Source organism: Homo sapiens, chromosome 6 (genome assembly GCF_000001405.40).
Source record: "Homo sapiens chromosome 6, GRCh38.p14 Primary Assembly".
In the NCBI taxonomy this organism is placed as follows: domain Eukaryota; kingdom Metazoa; phylum Chordata; class Mammalia; order Primates; family Hominidae; genus Homo; species Homo sapiens.
In genome coordinates, this window is record NC_000006.12 from 130024486 (window position 1) to 130037071 (window position 12586).

Consider the following 12586-nt stretch of genomic DNA (forward strand, 5'->3'; position numbering starts at 1 on the left):
TTTAATTAGTCCCTGAGTAATTGAGAGTTGATTCTTAAAGAATTTTGACTGGGTTGGTAGTTTATTTTTAAGAATTCCATATTTCAGCCAATGCTGTTTATAGTAGTGCAGTTAGGATGGGGAATTTATGAGAGAACTTACTTTATGTGGTGGGTGGGATGTACCGTTGGCATCCCAAGGATGGATAACTTGAGTGATCCCTGCGGTATTGTTTCTACTAGTTACTTAACCAGTTTTTTTCTGAGCTCTTATGGTGTTGAACACTTAAAAGACGAGATCCTTGCTCTTGAGGAGTTCTAGAGATCCTTACTCTGGGACTAGACATAATGAGCTCTTCTAATAATAGTATAACAGTTGCACATGGTACCATTAGGAAAGGATGAGGGCTCTAGCACTCTTTGGAGCTGTTGAACCAGGAAACATGGATTTCTGGGCTAACTGATGCAGGACCATGGCATATCATCCAATACACATGGCACAATATAATGCATTCCTTTTTTAGTGCTTCGCCTTCAGAAATGAGTAAGAAGCCCTTCACCCACAGTCAAGGAATGTCTAGCAAGAGTCTAGCAAGATGGATTGAGGCGATTCTTTCTTTGACCAGTGTGTTCACAAGGTAACTTTCTGGTGAAGATCTACACTATCTTCCACTGTTACCACTTGCCACTATTGAGGGATTTGTTCCTCACAAGGATTTGGGAATGCTTATAGTATAGGTAAAGATAGTGTCTTTAGAGAGAACTATTTATATGTTCATATGGGTGCACATTTATATGTGACATCTTGAAGTTCAGCGGATCCATGGAAGATATATTTTCTAAAGGGCTTCATTATCTAACAGGAATATTCTCAGATTATCTCTTTACTGTATTAAATTATTTCATTGGTGGTTGTGGATGTAAGTCAATAGTGGGAAATGATGAACGGATTTGTATTGACTGTGGCAGCTATGCAGTGGGTGGATGAAAAGAAGCACCAAGAAAGGGTATCCTTGATATATAACTAAGCTTGATTTATGAAGTAAAATTGGGAAAGACCTTTAGAAAATTCCCATTTGGGAGACAAGATAGTTTGGAGGAATGAACAAGGATCTTTGAGAGGAACTTGAGTAAAGTTAAGTTGGGTGATCTTGGATGAGGGAACTTTCCTCATAAACTGTAGTTTCTTTCTGAGTAGACTTGGAATTGATTAGTTGGATGGTGATTATAAGAATGATATGTATATTATATGTAACAGTAAAATGCCTTCTGCATTATTATTCTTTCTCCCATATATACTGTAAATCATTGTTTTGTGTTCCACCAACAGATACTTATTGAACCTCTATTTTGTCTAAATTACTGTTGTGAACTGCTTCACAAAATCAACAATTACAGCAGGGTTGAATGAATGTATGTGTTGGGGCTACAAAGACATCGAGCATCAATCCTTGGGCTCAGTATATTCCTAATCTAGTTGGGGAGATAACCCATACACATACGATGGCAATTAACAAAACAAAGCCATGGTTAAGTGTGGGTGAATGGTAGATAAATGCTGTAGACACTGTGATGGCATCTCTGGATGTGGTGGTAAATGTGTTCCTGTGATAGGACCCGGCAGATGGGGTTGCTCTTTTAAAAACCCTATGAAGTGTTGATATACAATGTTAAGTGCAATTGTATATCGAGTGCCTTCTGAAGATCAAGCATTAAGCTAGATGCTTTATATTTATTTATTCATCCAAAAAATACTTTGAGTGCTTTCTGTATGCCCAGGTACTGTTCTAGGCACTGACTATTACCTCTCATACTTTCACTAACCTTGAGCACTGGGTATTATTTTTTGTCTTTTAGAGCAAACTGGTGCTCAGAGTTACTTAGTAACTTGTTCATATCATGCAGTTTGAAAGGGGTGGAATCAGGGAAAATGATACTGGCATATGATTGATGTGTCTTTAGGTTTTTGATTTTCAAAATAGTAACACATAGAATATTTTAAAAACAACACATTTCCAGATTAAGGTATGTGCTCTTTTACATTGGTTTACTAAGATGAGCAATAATGAACAGGTATAAGAAAAATAGATGGGAAGAAAAACTGGCTTTACTTTCTTCTTTTTTTTTTCTTTTTAAAACCAAGAATTGAGAAAAGACCAATTATTGAATTATTCTGAAAAGAACACCTTGGTCTAGCCCATGGCCTTGAAATGATCACAAACTGTTGATAAAACATTACTCAGAATAGGCTTGGGAATCACTGGGCTTACTTATATAAAGATTTCATTTGTTCTCTATAGGAAGAGACCCAATAAGGTAGTAGGACTAGTTATGAAAAATATATATATAAAGCATCAATCAATGAAAGAATGGGACCTGCATCTACCAAGGCAGGCTCAGTAGGTTATGAAATTTACTCTAAAGCCAGGATTGTAAAAGGAAAGAAGAAAATTAAGAGAGACAATGGTGGGGAGAAAATGGAGGGGTGGTGTGGTAGAAATGTGTCCTAGAATCAAAGTAAAAGATGAAAACAGGGAATATGACTAAGATCCTGAGCAAGAGTGCTATAATTACTGGTGTTATACACTGTAACCAAAAGAGTATGTCCCATGTTTGCAAAATGAGGTGAAGAGTCTATTTTGACTCATCGGGTGGTTTTGTATTGCAATGGGAATTATATCTCTCTGTTATATGAGTTACGGTGGATCAGGCAGTTCTTCAGTTTGACTTAGAAGGATGCCATTGTAGGCATTGATTACAAGGTAATGGGCTGTTTCTCCTTTGTTGAAGTTCTATTTAAAACATTTTTTGAGCGTATACTATGTACCAGACCTTTTAAAGGCTGGACCATAGCTTTATATTACATAAATTTTGTGGAATTAAGCTAATTTAGTTACTAGAACATTTTGGGTATGATTGCTTAGGTACCAAAATCAGTTGATTATTTTTCTCCATCCATTACACTGTTGAACCCTGAATAGTGAATTGAAATTCCTAGGTGGTCAATCTGGTCTGGTTGTTAAATGATCTTAGTAATTCACCGTATTGGTTTGTGGTCTAATTGGGTGGACTTGAGGCTTAGCTGTTCAGTCTATTGATAAGGAGGTTGGCTACAAATGGTTATCAAGATAAGCCTGTAGACTTCTGTGAAAGAAAAATCTAGCCAAATCTAATTCATTACATGCAAAAGAGAAATCAAGTGTAAATCTTAGCTTTATGTTCTATAAAAATATGAAGCAAAATAAGAAAAAAGATACTACTTTTAGCATTAAAAATTATGAAGTAAAATAAAAAAGAACAAGAGAGTACTTTTAGTTTTTCTTTTAAAATTTTAGTTCATGCATATTTAGCATATGCATAGAAATATCTGTGTCAGGTTCTTGTTCTTTTTATGGCCCTTGAATCCCTCTAATGGGTGTAAAATTTCTATTATTACCCTTCTAGTATAGTATGTTGATGATATGCTAGCACTTTAAAAAATATGTCTGACTCAAATTGAGGTATAGTCTGCACGTTGAACATGAATTTAAAATAAAAGCATTTAATGAGAGTCTATTAAATATGCCATAGGCCCATTAATGTCAGTTTGTGATTTCACTTTCTGTGTACCTTTTTTTTTTTTTTTCTTGAAAGGCATTTTTCATTTTCTGTTCCTTCTTTAGAGGAAGTAAGTAGGTTAGGCCACAGAATCTCAAATAATTCATCCTTCTTACAGTAACACAGAAGGGCAGGAAGTTGAGATTTTGTAAAGGTTACCTTTGGTGACTACCCTTTCTTTGCACATGATCTCCATGGCAGACAAGGTAGCAAATCAGAGAGACCATTGCAACATTATAAATAGGATCATTCACATTAAAATATGACTAGCTGATAAAGGGACAGTGTTTTTGAGAAAATATCAATAAGATGGAACCGCTGTAATGACTGATTTCATGTTTAAAGGCAGCATGGATTAGTTCACACTCAGGTGTCTCCTCTGCAGGGATGGATGAGAACAGAAGACCCAACTTCTCAAGGATTTGTTCTTGATGCTGCTAAGATTTCAGTTCTCACATTGAAATAATGATCTAGAGTTTTTCCTGCCTAAAATCTATGAACTTAGGTCCTTAGGACAGATTTCACATCTCTCCACAACAGACCTTAATTCCAATATATGTGTGATTCAGAGTACTTATCAGGCAGGATGAGTAGCATATCAAAGGTGGTCTCTGTCATGCTTGATTTGAAAGGAATATTTTTCTTCATAGCAATGTGTGTTTGTTGAGAGATGCTTCAAGTGTGAGTTTAGATTTTCTCTTATCCTTATTGAATAAGTCTGTTTAAGAGGTTTGAATTTAACTTCTTTTGATGTGTTCTCCACTGACACTTATATAAGGAGAGTTTCTTGGAGTGGTGATGTTATGCTTCTGCCAAAGAGGTAAACAAATACTTAGCAGCCTAGTTGTTAGAATTTTCACTGGAGAATATGAGCTAGATGGACAGATGAAGGTCTTTCCCTGATTTTTCCTCTCCCCAAGCCCCTTCCATTCCCCTCCAGTAGTGTATTGTATTTTCCTCTTCTCTTTTATTGATTCATTTGGTAAGTTTTATCAATACCTACTATAGATATTCATAAGAGATAACAAAATGGGTAAATCAAGGTCTCTGTGCTTCAAAACCTCCTATAAGTAGATGATCAAGATACAGTGTCATAAGCATTATAATCAGTGTATAGATTCTGTCCTCCCAGCCCCACTTATGTCCTGGTCCTGGCATCTTACTTGCACGTACATACTCCAGTGCTCCTATAGAGAAACACTCCCACTGTAGCCCCTTTGGGGATGATGACGCAGAGCTTTCATCTCTCTTTTTCATACTGGCCTCTTGCTTTAATCTCTCACAGCACTTTCTGTTTGCCTGTGTACCAGCTCTCTTGAAAGCAGGTCCTGGAACCACATTTGGTACATGAGGACGTTTTTATGCCTCCTCAGCAAAAACGTCACAGTAAGGTTGCGAATGGCCTAGTCCTGAGTAGTTTCTCAGAAATTACGTCCTTTTTATTTTGTTGGCAGTTAAATTTTTTTTCTTTATAAGAACTTGGCAAAACTAACAGCTATTGACCTTACATCGGTCTCCCAAATTCACTTTGAAGTCTACTTGTCCATGAAATCTGAGTCATACCATTGTTCTTGACTGCCCTGCTGCCCACCTTTCCTGTCCTCATCTCTGGACTCCTGAGAAATTAAATAGGCCTTTTTTGATGTAAAGGTATTGGCCTTCGCACAGTTTTCATTCCTCTGCCCTGTGAGACTTCAGAGATCTGATAAACTGGTTCTTGGAGGGCATGTGGACCCTGGAGAGCCCCTCCCCTCCCCTGCCCTGCCCTCCTCTTTTTGAGACAGAGTCTCAGTCTGTCACCCAGGCTGGAGTGCAGTGGGTGGTACAATCTTGGTTCACTGCAACTTCTGCCTCCTGGGTTCAAGCGATTCTCGTGCTTCAGCATCTGGAGTAGCTGGGACTAGAGGCATGCACCACCACGCCCAACTAATTTTTGTATTTTCAGTCACCACCACACCCAGCTAATTTTTGTATTTTCAGTAGAGATAGGGTTTCACCATGTTGACCAGGCTGGTCTTGAACTCCTGACCATTTTTGATTCACCTGCCTCGGTCTCCCAAAGTGCTAGGATTACAGAAGTGAGCCACCTCTCCCGGCCGCTTGTCTTTTCTTTAGAATAACTGTAACTTTTACATACCAAGCATTCACTGTGTGCAAAGCACTCTAGTGTACATAATTTTTTTTAAAAAAAGTTTTTACACCCCTATGGAGAGGATATACCTAACCCATTTTACAGTTGAAGGAGCTAAAGCTCAAGAAAGGTTAGGTACCCTGGCTAAGATTATACAGCTAGTAAATTGTGAAGCTAAGATTTAAACCCGGCCGGGTGCGGTGGCTCACGCCTGTAATCCCAGTACTTTGGGAGGCTGAGGTGGGCAGATCATGAGGTCAGGAGATCGAGACCATCCTGGCTAACACAGTGAAACCCCGTCTCTACTGAACAAAATACAAAAAAAATTAGCCGGGCATGGTGGCGGGTGCCTGTAGTCCCAGCTACTCGGGAGGTTGAGGCGGGAGAATGGCGTGAACCTGGGAGGCGGAGCTTGCAGTGAGCCGAAATCTTGCCCCTGCATTCTAGCCTGGGTGACACAGCAAGACTCTACCTAAAAAAAAAAAAAAAAAAAAAAAAAAAAAGATTTAAACCCAGGCACTGGGGCTCCAAAGCCTTTGCTGTTACATTAAGTTGTCTTCTAGGTTGACTAAAATACAATGTGTTGGCAACTGTCTTGGAAGGTAAAATCTGTTTCTTAGCTGGGTGACCTCAATTTTCTCATCTGTGAAATGAGGATGATAATGTTTATCAGTCTTAAAAAAGTAGTTTGAGGGTCAAATAGGCTGATATTGATAATATCCTTTAAAATGACAAAGCATTGAAGAAATTATTGTGCCCCACCATGTTTGTTTCCCTTTCATGTTTGTTAGGCTTATGGGCTTTGTATGATTACCCCATGTGACCTTGTATTTGTGGATACATGAGTCCTTCCATTAGTGGCTGCGTATTTCTCTGGTACCATGGAGGTAAAAGAAGGTCATCACAAACTAAATCTGAGAGCTGTAGGGAGGTCTTAGGAGACAGGGGCCATACCTTTCTCAGAATCACTTTCTCAAGTCTGGACTTAAAGGACTTATAAGTCCTGAGGACCTTCCCTGGTATTAGACACTATACCAACAAGCAGGTTCAGACTGGGAGCTAGATTAGAAGGTAGCATCCTTGTAGTTGAATCCAACTTGAAGATGAATAAACTCTATCCTCTAAAACACTACCTTACTTTCATGTTATTTTCTGAATTTATTTTGTATAGCTCAGTGCCTTCCAAATGAGGGATTCCATGGAACTTGATGTGATGTGATAATAGTGCCAAGGCTAAGTGACTCTGGGAAACTTTGGCTGGGACAGCACTCCACAGATGGTTGCACATCGATGTGCCCTGGACGTCTCCCAAAGACGCTAGGGTATTAGACATCTCTTTTCACAAACCCCTTTATCAGGGGACATGAATAAATGGTCTCGTAAAAGTTGTGTTTTGGGGAGCAGACTTTGTGGAATGTTGCCCTAGCCTTTAGTCTTGTTTAAGTGCAATCAGACCAGCATCGTGACCATTCATTAGGCTCCTCCAAGGACAGGGTATCCTCTGGAAAGAGGGCCTGAGCTTCAGGTCCAGTACCTTCCCCATGTGACTAAGCCTTCACTGTTACTTCAGATGTGTTGCTTTATAAAGAAATTGGCAGTCTTTTCTGGTGCCATGTAAATATGAGGAATTATTACTATAAAAATAAATATTACTATTATAGTAATAGTAATACTAATTTTTACTAATAGTAAAAATTACTATTAAAATAAAAATAACATATCTACTTTTCTTTTTTTTGAGATAGAGCTTCACTGTGTTGCCTAGGCTGGAGTACAGTGATGTGATCATAGCTCACTGAAGCCTGAAACTCCTGGGCTCAAAGCGATCCCACCTGCTCCGCCTCCCGAGTAGCTGAGACCACAGGTGTGCAACACCATGCCTGGCTGATTTTTGCATTTTCTTGTAGGTGTGGGGTCTCACTATGTTGCCCAGGCTGGTCTTGAACTCCTGGCCTCAGGTGATCCTCCGAAAGTGCAGGTGTGAACCACCACACCTGATCATATCTGCTTTTTAGGTAGTGATCTTCACACCTTGTGACAAAGGTTTGAGCACAGATGGCTTACTACCATAGATGTTATTCAAATAAAATGAATTTTTTAAAAAACCTAGAGTAGCGTCTGCTGTTGTGTGTCTGTAGTCCCAGCTGCTCTAGAGGCTGAGGCGGGAGGAGTGTTTGAGCCCAGGTGGTTGAGGCTGTAGTGAGCTATGTTTGTGTTGTTGTACCCCAGCCTGGAAAACAGAGTGAGATCCTGTCTCTATGAATAAATAAGCAAGTCACTGCCTAATTTTTTTTTTAAGGTCACTGAGTGACTTTCATGAATTTGAATAATTGTTAAACCAGATAATTATAACAAGAAGCTAACATTTTATTGACTGGTTTACTATCTGGTAAGTACTATGCTGTGGTATTATCTGGCCTATCTCATCTGTCTTCACCATTACTCAATGAATTTTGAAAAAAGGTTCTGTTATTCTTTGCATTTTACACATGGGGAAATTGAGACTTCAAGAGATCAGGCTGGGCGTGGTGGCTCACACCTGTAATCCCTGCACTTCGGGAGGCCAAGGTGGAAGAATCACGTGAGGCCTGCAGTTTGAGACCACCCTGGGCAACATAGTGAGACCCCCATCTCTACAAAAAATTTAAAACATTAGCCAGCTGTGGTGGTGTGCACCTGTAGTGCTGGCTCCTTGGCAGGCTAAGGTGGTAGGACCGCTTGAGCCCAGGAGGTTGAGGCTGCCGTGATCCATGATTGCACCACTGCACTCCAGCATGGGCAACAGAGCAAGACCCTGTCTCAAAAACATGCAAAAAATGAGAGACTGATTTGTCGGAAGTCATGGAGTGGGTAATTGTCAAACCTTGGAAAGTGATACGAAGAGGAGGAAAAGAAGGAAGTAGTTGAGGGAAGGGTAAGGGATGGAAAGAGGAACTGTAAGAGTAGGGCAAATCTTGAGGATAATCAAGGAAGCATTTGGTTTGCGCCTATGAAAGGATGACGGGAGCTGGGTGAGTCGGGTGGGGAGGCTCAAAGCAGTTTTATATGCCACATTCATAAGGTGATTAGCAGTGGGGAGACTCCTTGGAGATGATGTTACTGAAAAATGACGTTTAGGAGTTTTGAGTATGTCATTCTGCACCAAGTTTGACAGTTAACGGTTAGTGAGTGAAGATGATTTCTGTAAAGTAAACAAAAAATCATCCTGAGTTGATGGTGTCATATAGTAGGCATCATAGCAACAAGCTGTTGGATTCTACAGTGGAGGTTGGCTTTTCTCATTGCTGTCTTCATCTTCTGCATAGTTGTCATTTTTGTTTGGTTCATAGTAATGATTTTAGGGTTAGTATTCCTGACACACTGTTTACAAAAGATACACTGCCCTTTTAACCAAAAACTGGCAAGTTTAGTTCCTTGACACCAGGCGCTGATCTCAGGCCTGTTATCTGAATGACAGAATTTGAATCTGATTCTCAGATGCTGCTTTTAAGGTCATGTCTACCCTCATTTTATAACTATTCTTAACTCATAACCGTAGTATTTCTATACCTTATTTTTGAAAAATGTACTTGTTAACTATGAAGCTATAAAATGCAGCTCTTAAGAAAAAGCAACTGTAAAATTATTAAAACTATTTAACTGGTCTTGATGAATGTTAACTAGCCATTCTTTTAAAGACAATATTTGGAGAACAGTGGTTTGACCAGGAATGGTTGGGCTACAGTCAGTACCCTTTCTCAGTAATCCAAATTTCTTCCCTTATTTGCAGGTGCAGACTTTTGGGTTATAGCAGGGCCCACTCTTTTGCTTTGTGCTGTGCGCCTCCTAGGTTATGCTGCTTATATCTCAGAGGACTGGTATCTTCCCTTCATCTCAGCCCCAGGCAGCCTCTTTATTTTGAATATGCTGCAGGAACCCAGCTCGTAGGAGTCCCTGCTCCTCACTCTGAGCCTCTGTTTTATCCACTCCTGGCAGATAGGAGCAAAGAAGTTGTAGGAAGGAAAGATTATGAAGGACACACAAACTGTTTATCTCTAGTCAAAATGAGATACAGTAGATTCTTGACATTTGTGAGGTCAATGTCCGCAGCCAGTCACGATTCTCAACTTGAAAAAAAATCATTTTAGCACATAATTCCTTCCGTAAAATTGCTAAAGTAGAATTGGAAAATTTAAATGATCTCTCTAGACCCCTATCTACTTATCTCACTTGATGACTGATTTTTTTACTGTCTGGAGTACTTATTGAAACAAATTCACACATCTTTTCTACTTATTTCCTTTTGGAGCATTTGGTAGTTTTGTTCGCACAATGTGTCTGAGTCATCATTGCATTTGACATTTCAGTCTTTAATTTATCTGAAACTTCTGTTTTGTGGCTAGCCTATCGCTTTCATAAACATCCCCATATTCCCTTCATTCTGTCATCAACACTAGACTCAACTAGCAGTTAATTTTGTTTCATTTCTTAAAAAGAAACAGTTTTTATCACTTTATTTACAGTCTTCATAGCACTGAGACTAAGCGCTATGACTAAGAGCATGCCTGGGCCTCGGCCAGGCTGGACAACTTGCCCTTGCCCCAGCTTTATGGCATGTGTGATTCAGAATCATGTCTCTGCAAAATGACAAATTACTAAATGTCACAGCAACTTCAGGTGTCACTCAGGAATGGTAGGAACCATAAATACGTAGTCTGCGAATGCATACCTGAGTTGTGGAGGAGTGAACCGTACACCTCCTCCTCTCATCCATCTGTTGAGCTGATGAATGTGCATGTATAGTTAACGAGTACTAGTTAAGTTACCAGAGAGCTTTGTGGAAATGGATTTTCCTTCGTGACGTCTATGCTGTAGCTTCAGTTGTTGGCATTAATAACAAATATTTTCATGGGAAGACATGCCTTTTGTAATATACACTTTTAAATAAACATGAAACCGGATTTAAAAACTCATTTTTATTCATTAAAAAAATTATTTAAACATTCAACAGATACAAAAAAGTATACAGAAAGAAGGCTCACCACCATCAATATATGAGTGGTCTGCTTCCTCATAGGGGTTTTTGAATATAAGATATTAACTAGTTTAATCACCACCTGATGTAAGTGGTACATGGTAGACTGGGGCTGCCAGGGATTTATTTACATGAGAGAGTGAGGAGGTTCATCCAGCAGATAGAATATCTCAAGGGAGAGTCAGGTTTCACAACTTTGGTTTGGAGATGAGGAGTGGTGTAGGAGAGAGATAGGAGGTAATTCTGAGGAAAGTGTCGTATGTCATTTAGTCTGTTCTCCAGCCCTTTTGTTGGAGGCTGAGGGAAAGAACATTGTAATAAAAGCAAATTGTTTCACAAAGCAGGGACTTTCAGAGTGCAATACTTTTGCACTAGTGCCAGCAGTAATGGTCTCGGTCTTCAGTAGTCATCAGCTCCTTGACATCCACAGTGGGCAGTGGTAGCAGCATGCTGGGCATCAATGCCTTTGGTTGCAGCCATGGTCAGCCATGACATTACGTATTAGTGGGAATCAGAAGCATTTGGTGGACATCTGAACCCCAAACTTACCTCTTATGACATTAGTAGTGGCTGGAGACCAATAGAAGTTAGAGGAGATGAGGAGGAAAAAGCCGAATCTTGTCTGGTAGCACAGAGGACCCACCAGGGTGTACTTTCAGGATACTTCCTTAGGAAATCTCAGCACCATTTAACAAAAAAAAATTGTGATGGGGTTTTCTGCAGAAGGAGAAATACTGTTTGTGACTTGCATTGTGACTCTCTTACCTACCTGTTTTGTGTGTGTGTGTGTGTGTGTGTGTGTGTGTGTGTGGCCTGTGGAATACAGGTGGATTGTGGTGTAGCAGCAGGTGATACCTACAAGAACAAAACACAAGAGCATTTCTAAGTACTGAAAAAATTTACCGAGTCTCAGGAACACGAATTGTTGAAGGGAAAGGACTTTGTATGTTTGTATGCAAGTATACACATTTACAGAGGGTGACAACAAGGGAGGAAGACTTGGGGTGACTTAGAAGCAGCTTTTCTTAAAATAATATTGGTTCCTGGCTGTTCTGCCTCATTAATAGATGGTGGAAGAACAATCTGTTGTAGCCATTCAGTCTTCTTGTAATAATGAAAGTACCCATAGGCTTCAAAATTAGATGATGGGAGAGACAACATAGTAAATATTTTTATGCTATAATATTGTATTCAGAATCTCTGCAAACCTTAGAATGAAAATATGGGTGAAAACTATTTTTACAAAGGTTAGATATATGTTTTCAGGCAGAGTACACTGTGTATCATTAGTACTGTTTCATACAGCAAAGGCATATTCTGAGTATTTCTTAAAACATAGTGAACATTTACTGCAGGTTATATACAGTACTAGCTTTTAGATATCTGCTACTTTCTATTCCTCCTGTCAGACAGGATTTTGCTGCTGTGAATTTTGTACATATATGGTTTTTAGGTAGGAAAAGACTAAAAATCTATTTGTGGCGTCTGCATGTCTTACTGACATTTTGTTAGTAAGCATGTACTTTGAAGGTACTTTATCAGATACATGTTGCACTGATGTGGACTTGGTATTTATATTAAGAACTTTGGCCCTAATAAACTAGTTTTGTCATGTTCTGAGGTGTACCATATTCTGGTGAAAGTAGATTTTGCCAGATTTTCGGAGGAGAACAAAACTCTATAAAGATTAAACGATGGTTAACAAAGAAAGCTCACTGTTGGAAACAGTCTGACCTGGGTTCAAATGGTGGCCATGCTACTGGCTGTGGTTTTGGTTGAGTTACCAAATCTTTCTGCACCTCAGTTTCTTCAGTGTAGACTAGAGGGTTGATAAAATCCCTGTTTTTCTGAAAAAAATAATTGAAA

At 39.3% G+C, this 12586-nt stretch overlaps 1 protein-coding gene across 22 annotated transcripts in view, besides 1 other annotated feature; it reads left to right on the forward strand.

Moving 5' to 3' along the window:
* Nucleotides 1–12586, forward strand: part of L3MBTL3 (L3MBTL histone methyl-lysine binding protein 3) — a 122858-nt gene that overhangs the window by 5905 nt on the left and 104367 nt on the right. The gene's annotated exons all lie outside the window — the stretch shown is intronic.
* Nucleotides 3782–3831: an enhancer, noted in NCBI's record as "active region_25053". NCBI's record gives its function as "activates an Ori minimal core promoter by ATAC-STARR-seq in GM12878 lymphoblastoid cells {active_cell/tissue: GM12878}" and the evidence as "EXISTENCE:reporter gene assay evidence [ECO:0000049][PMID:35858748]".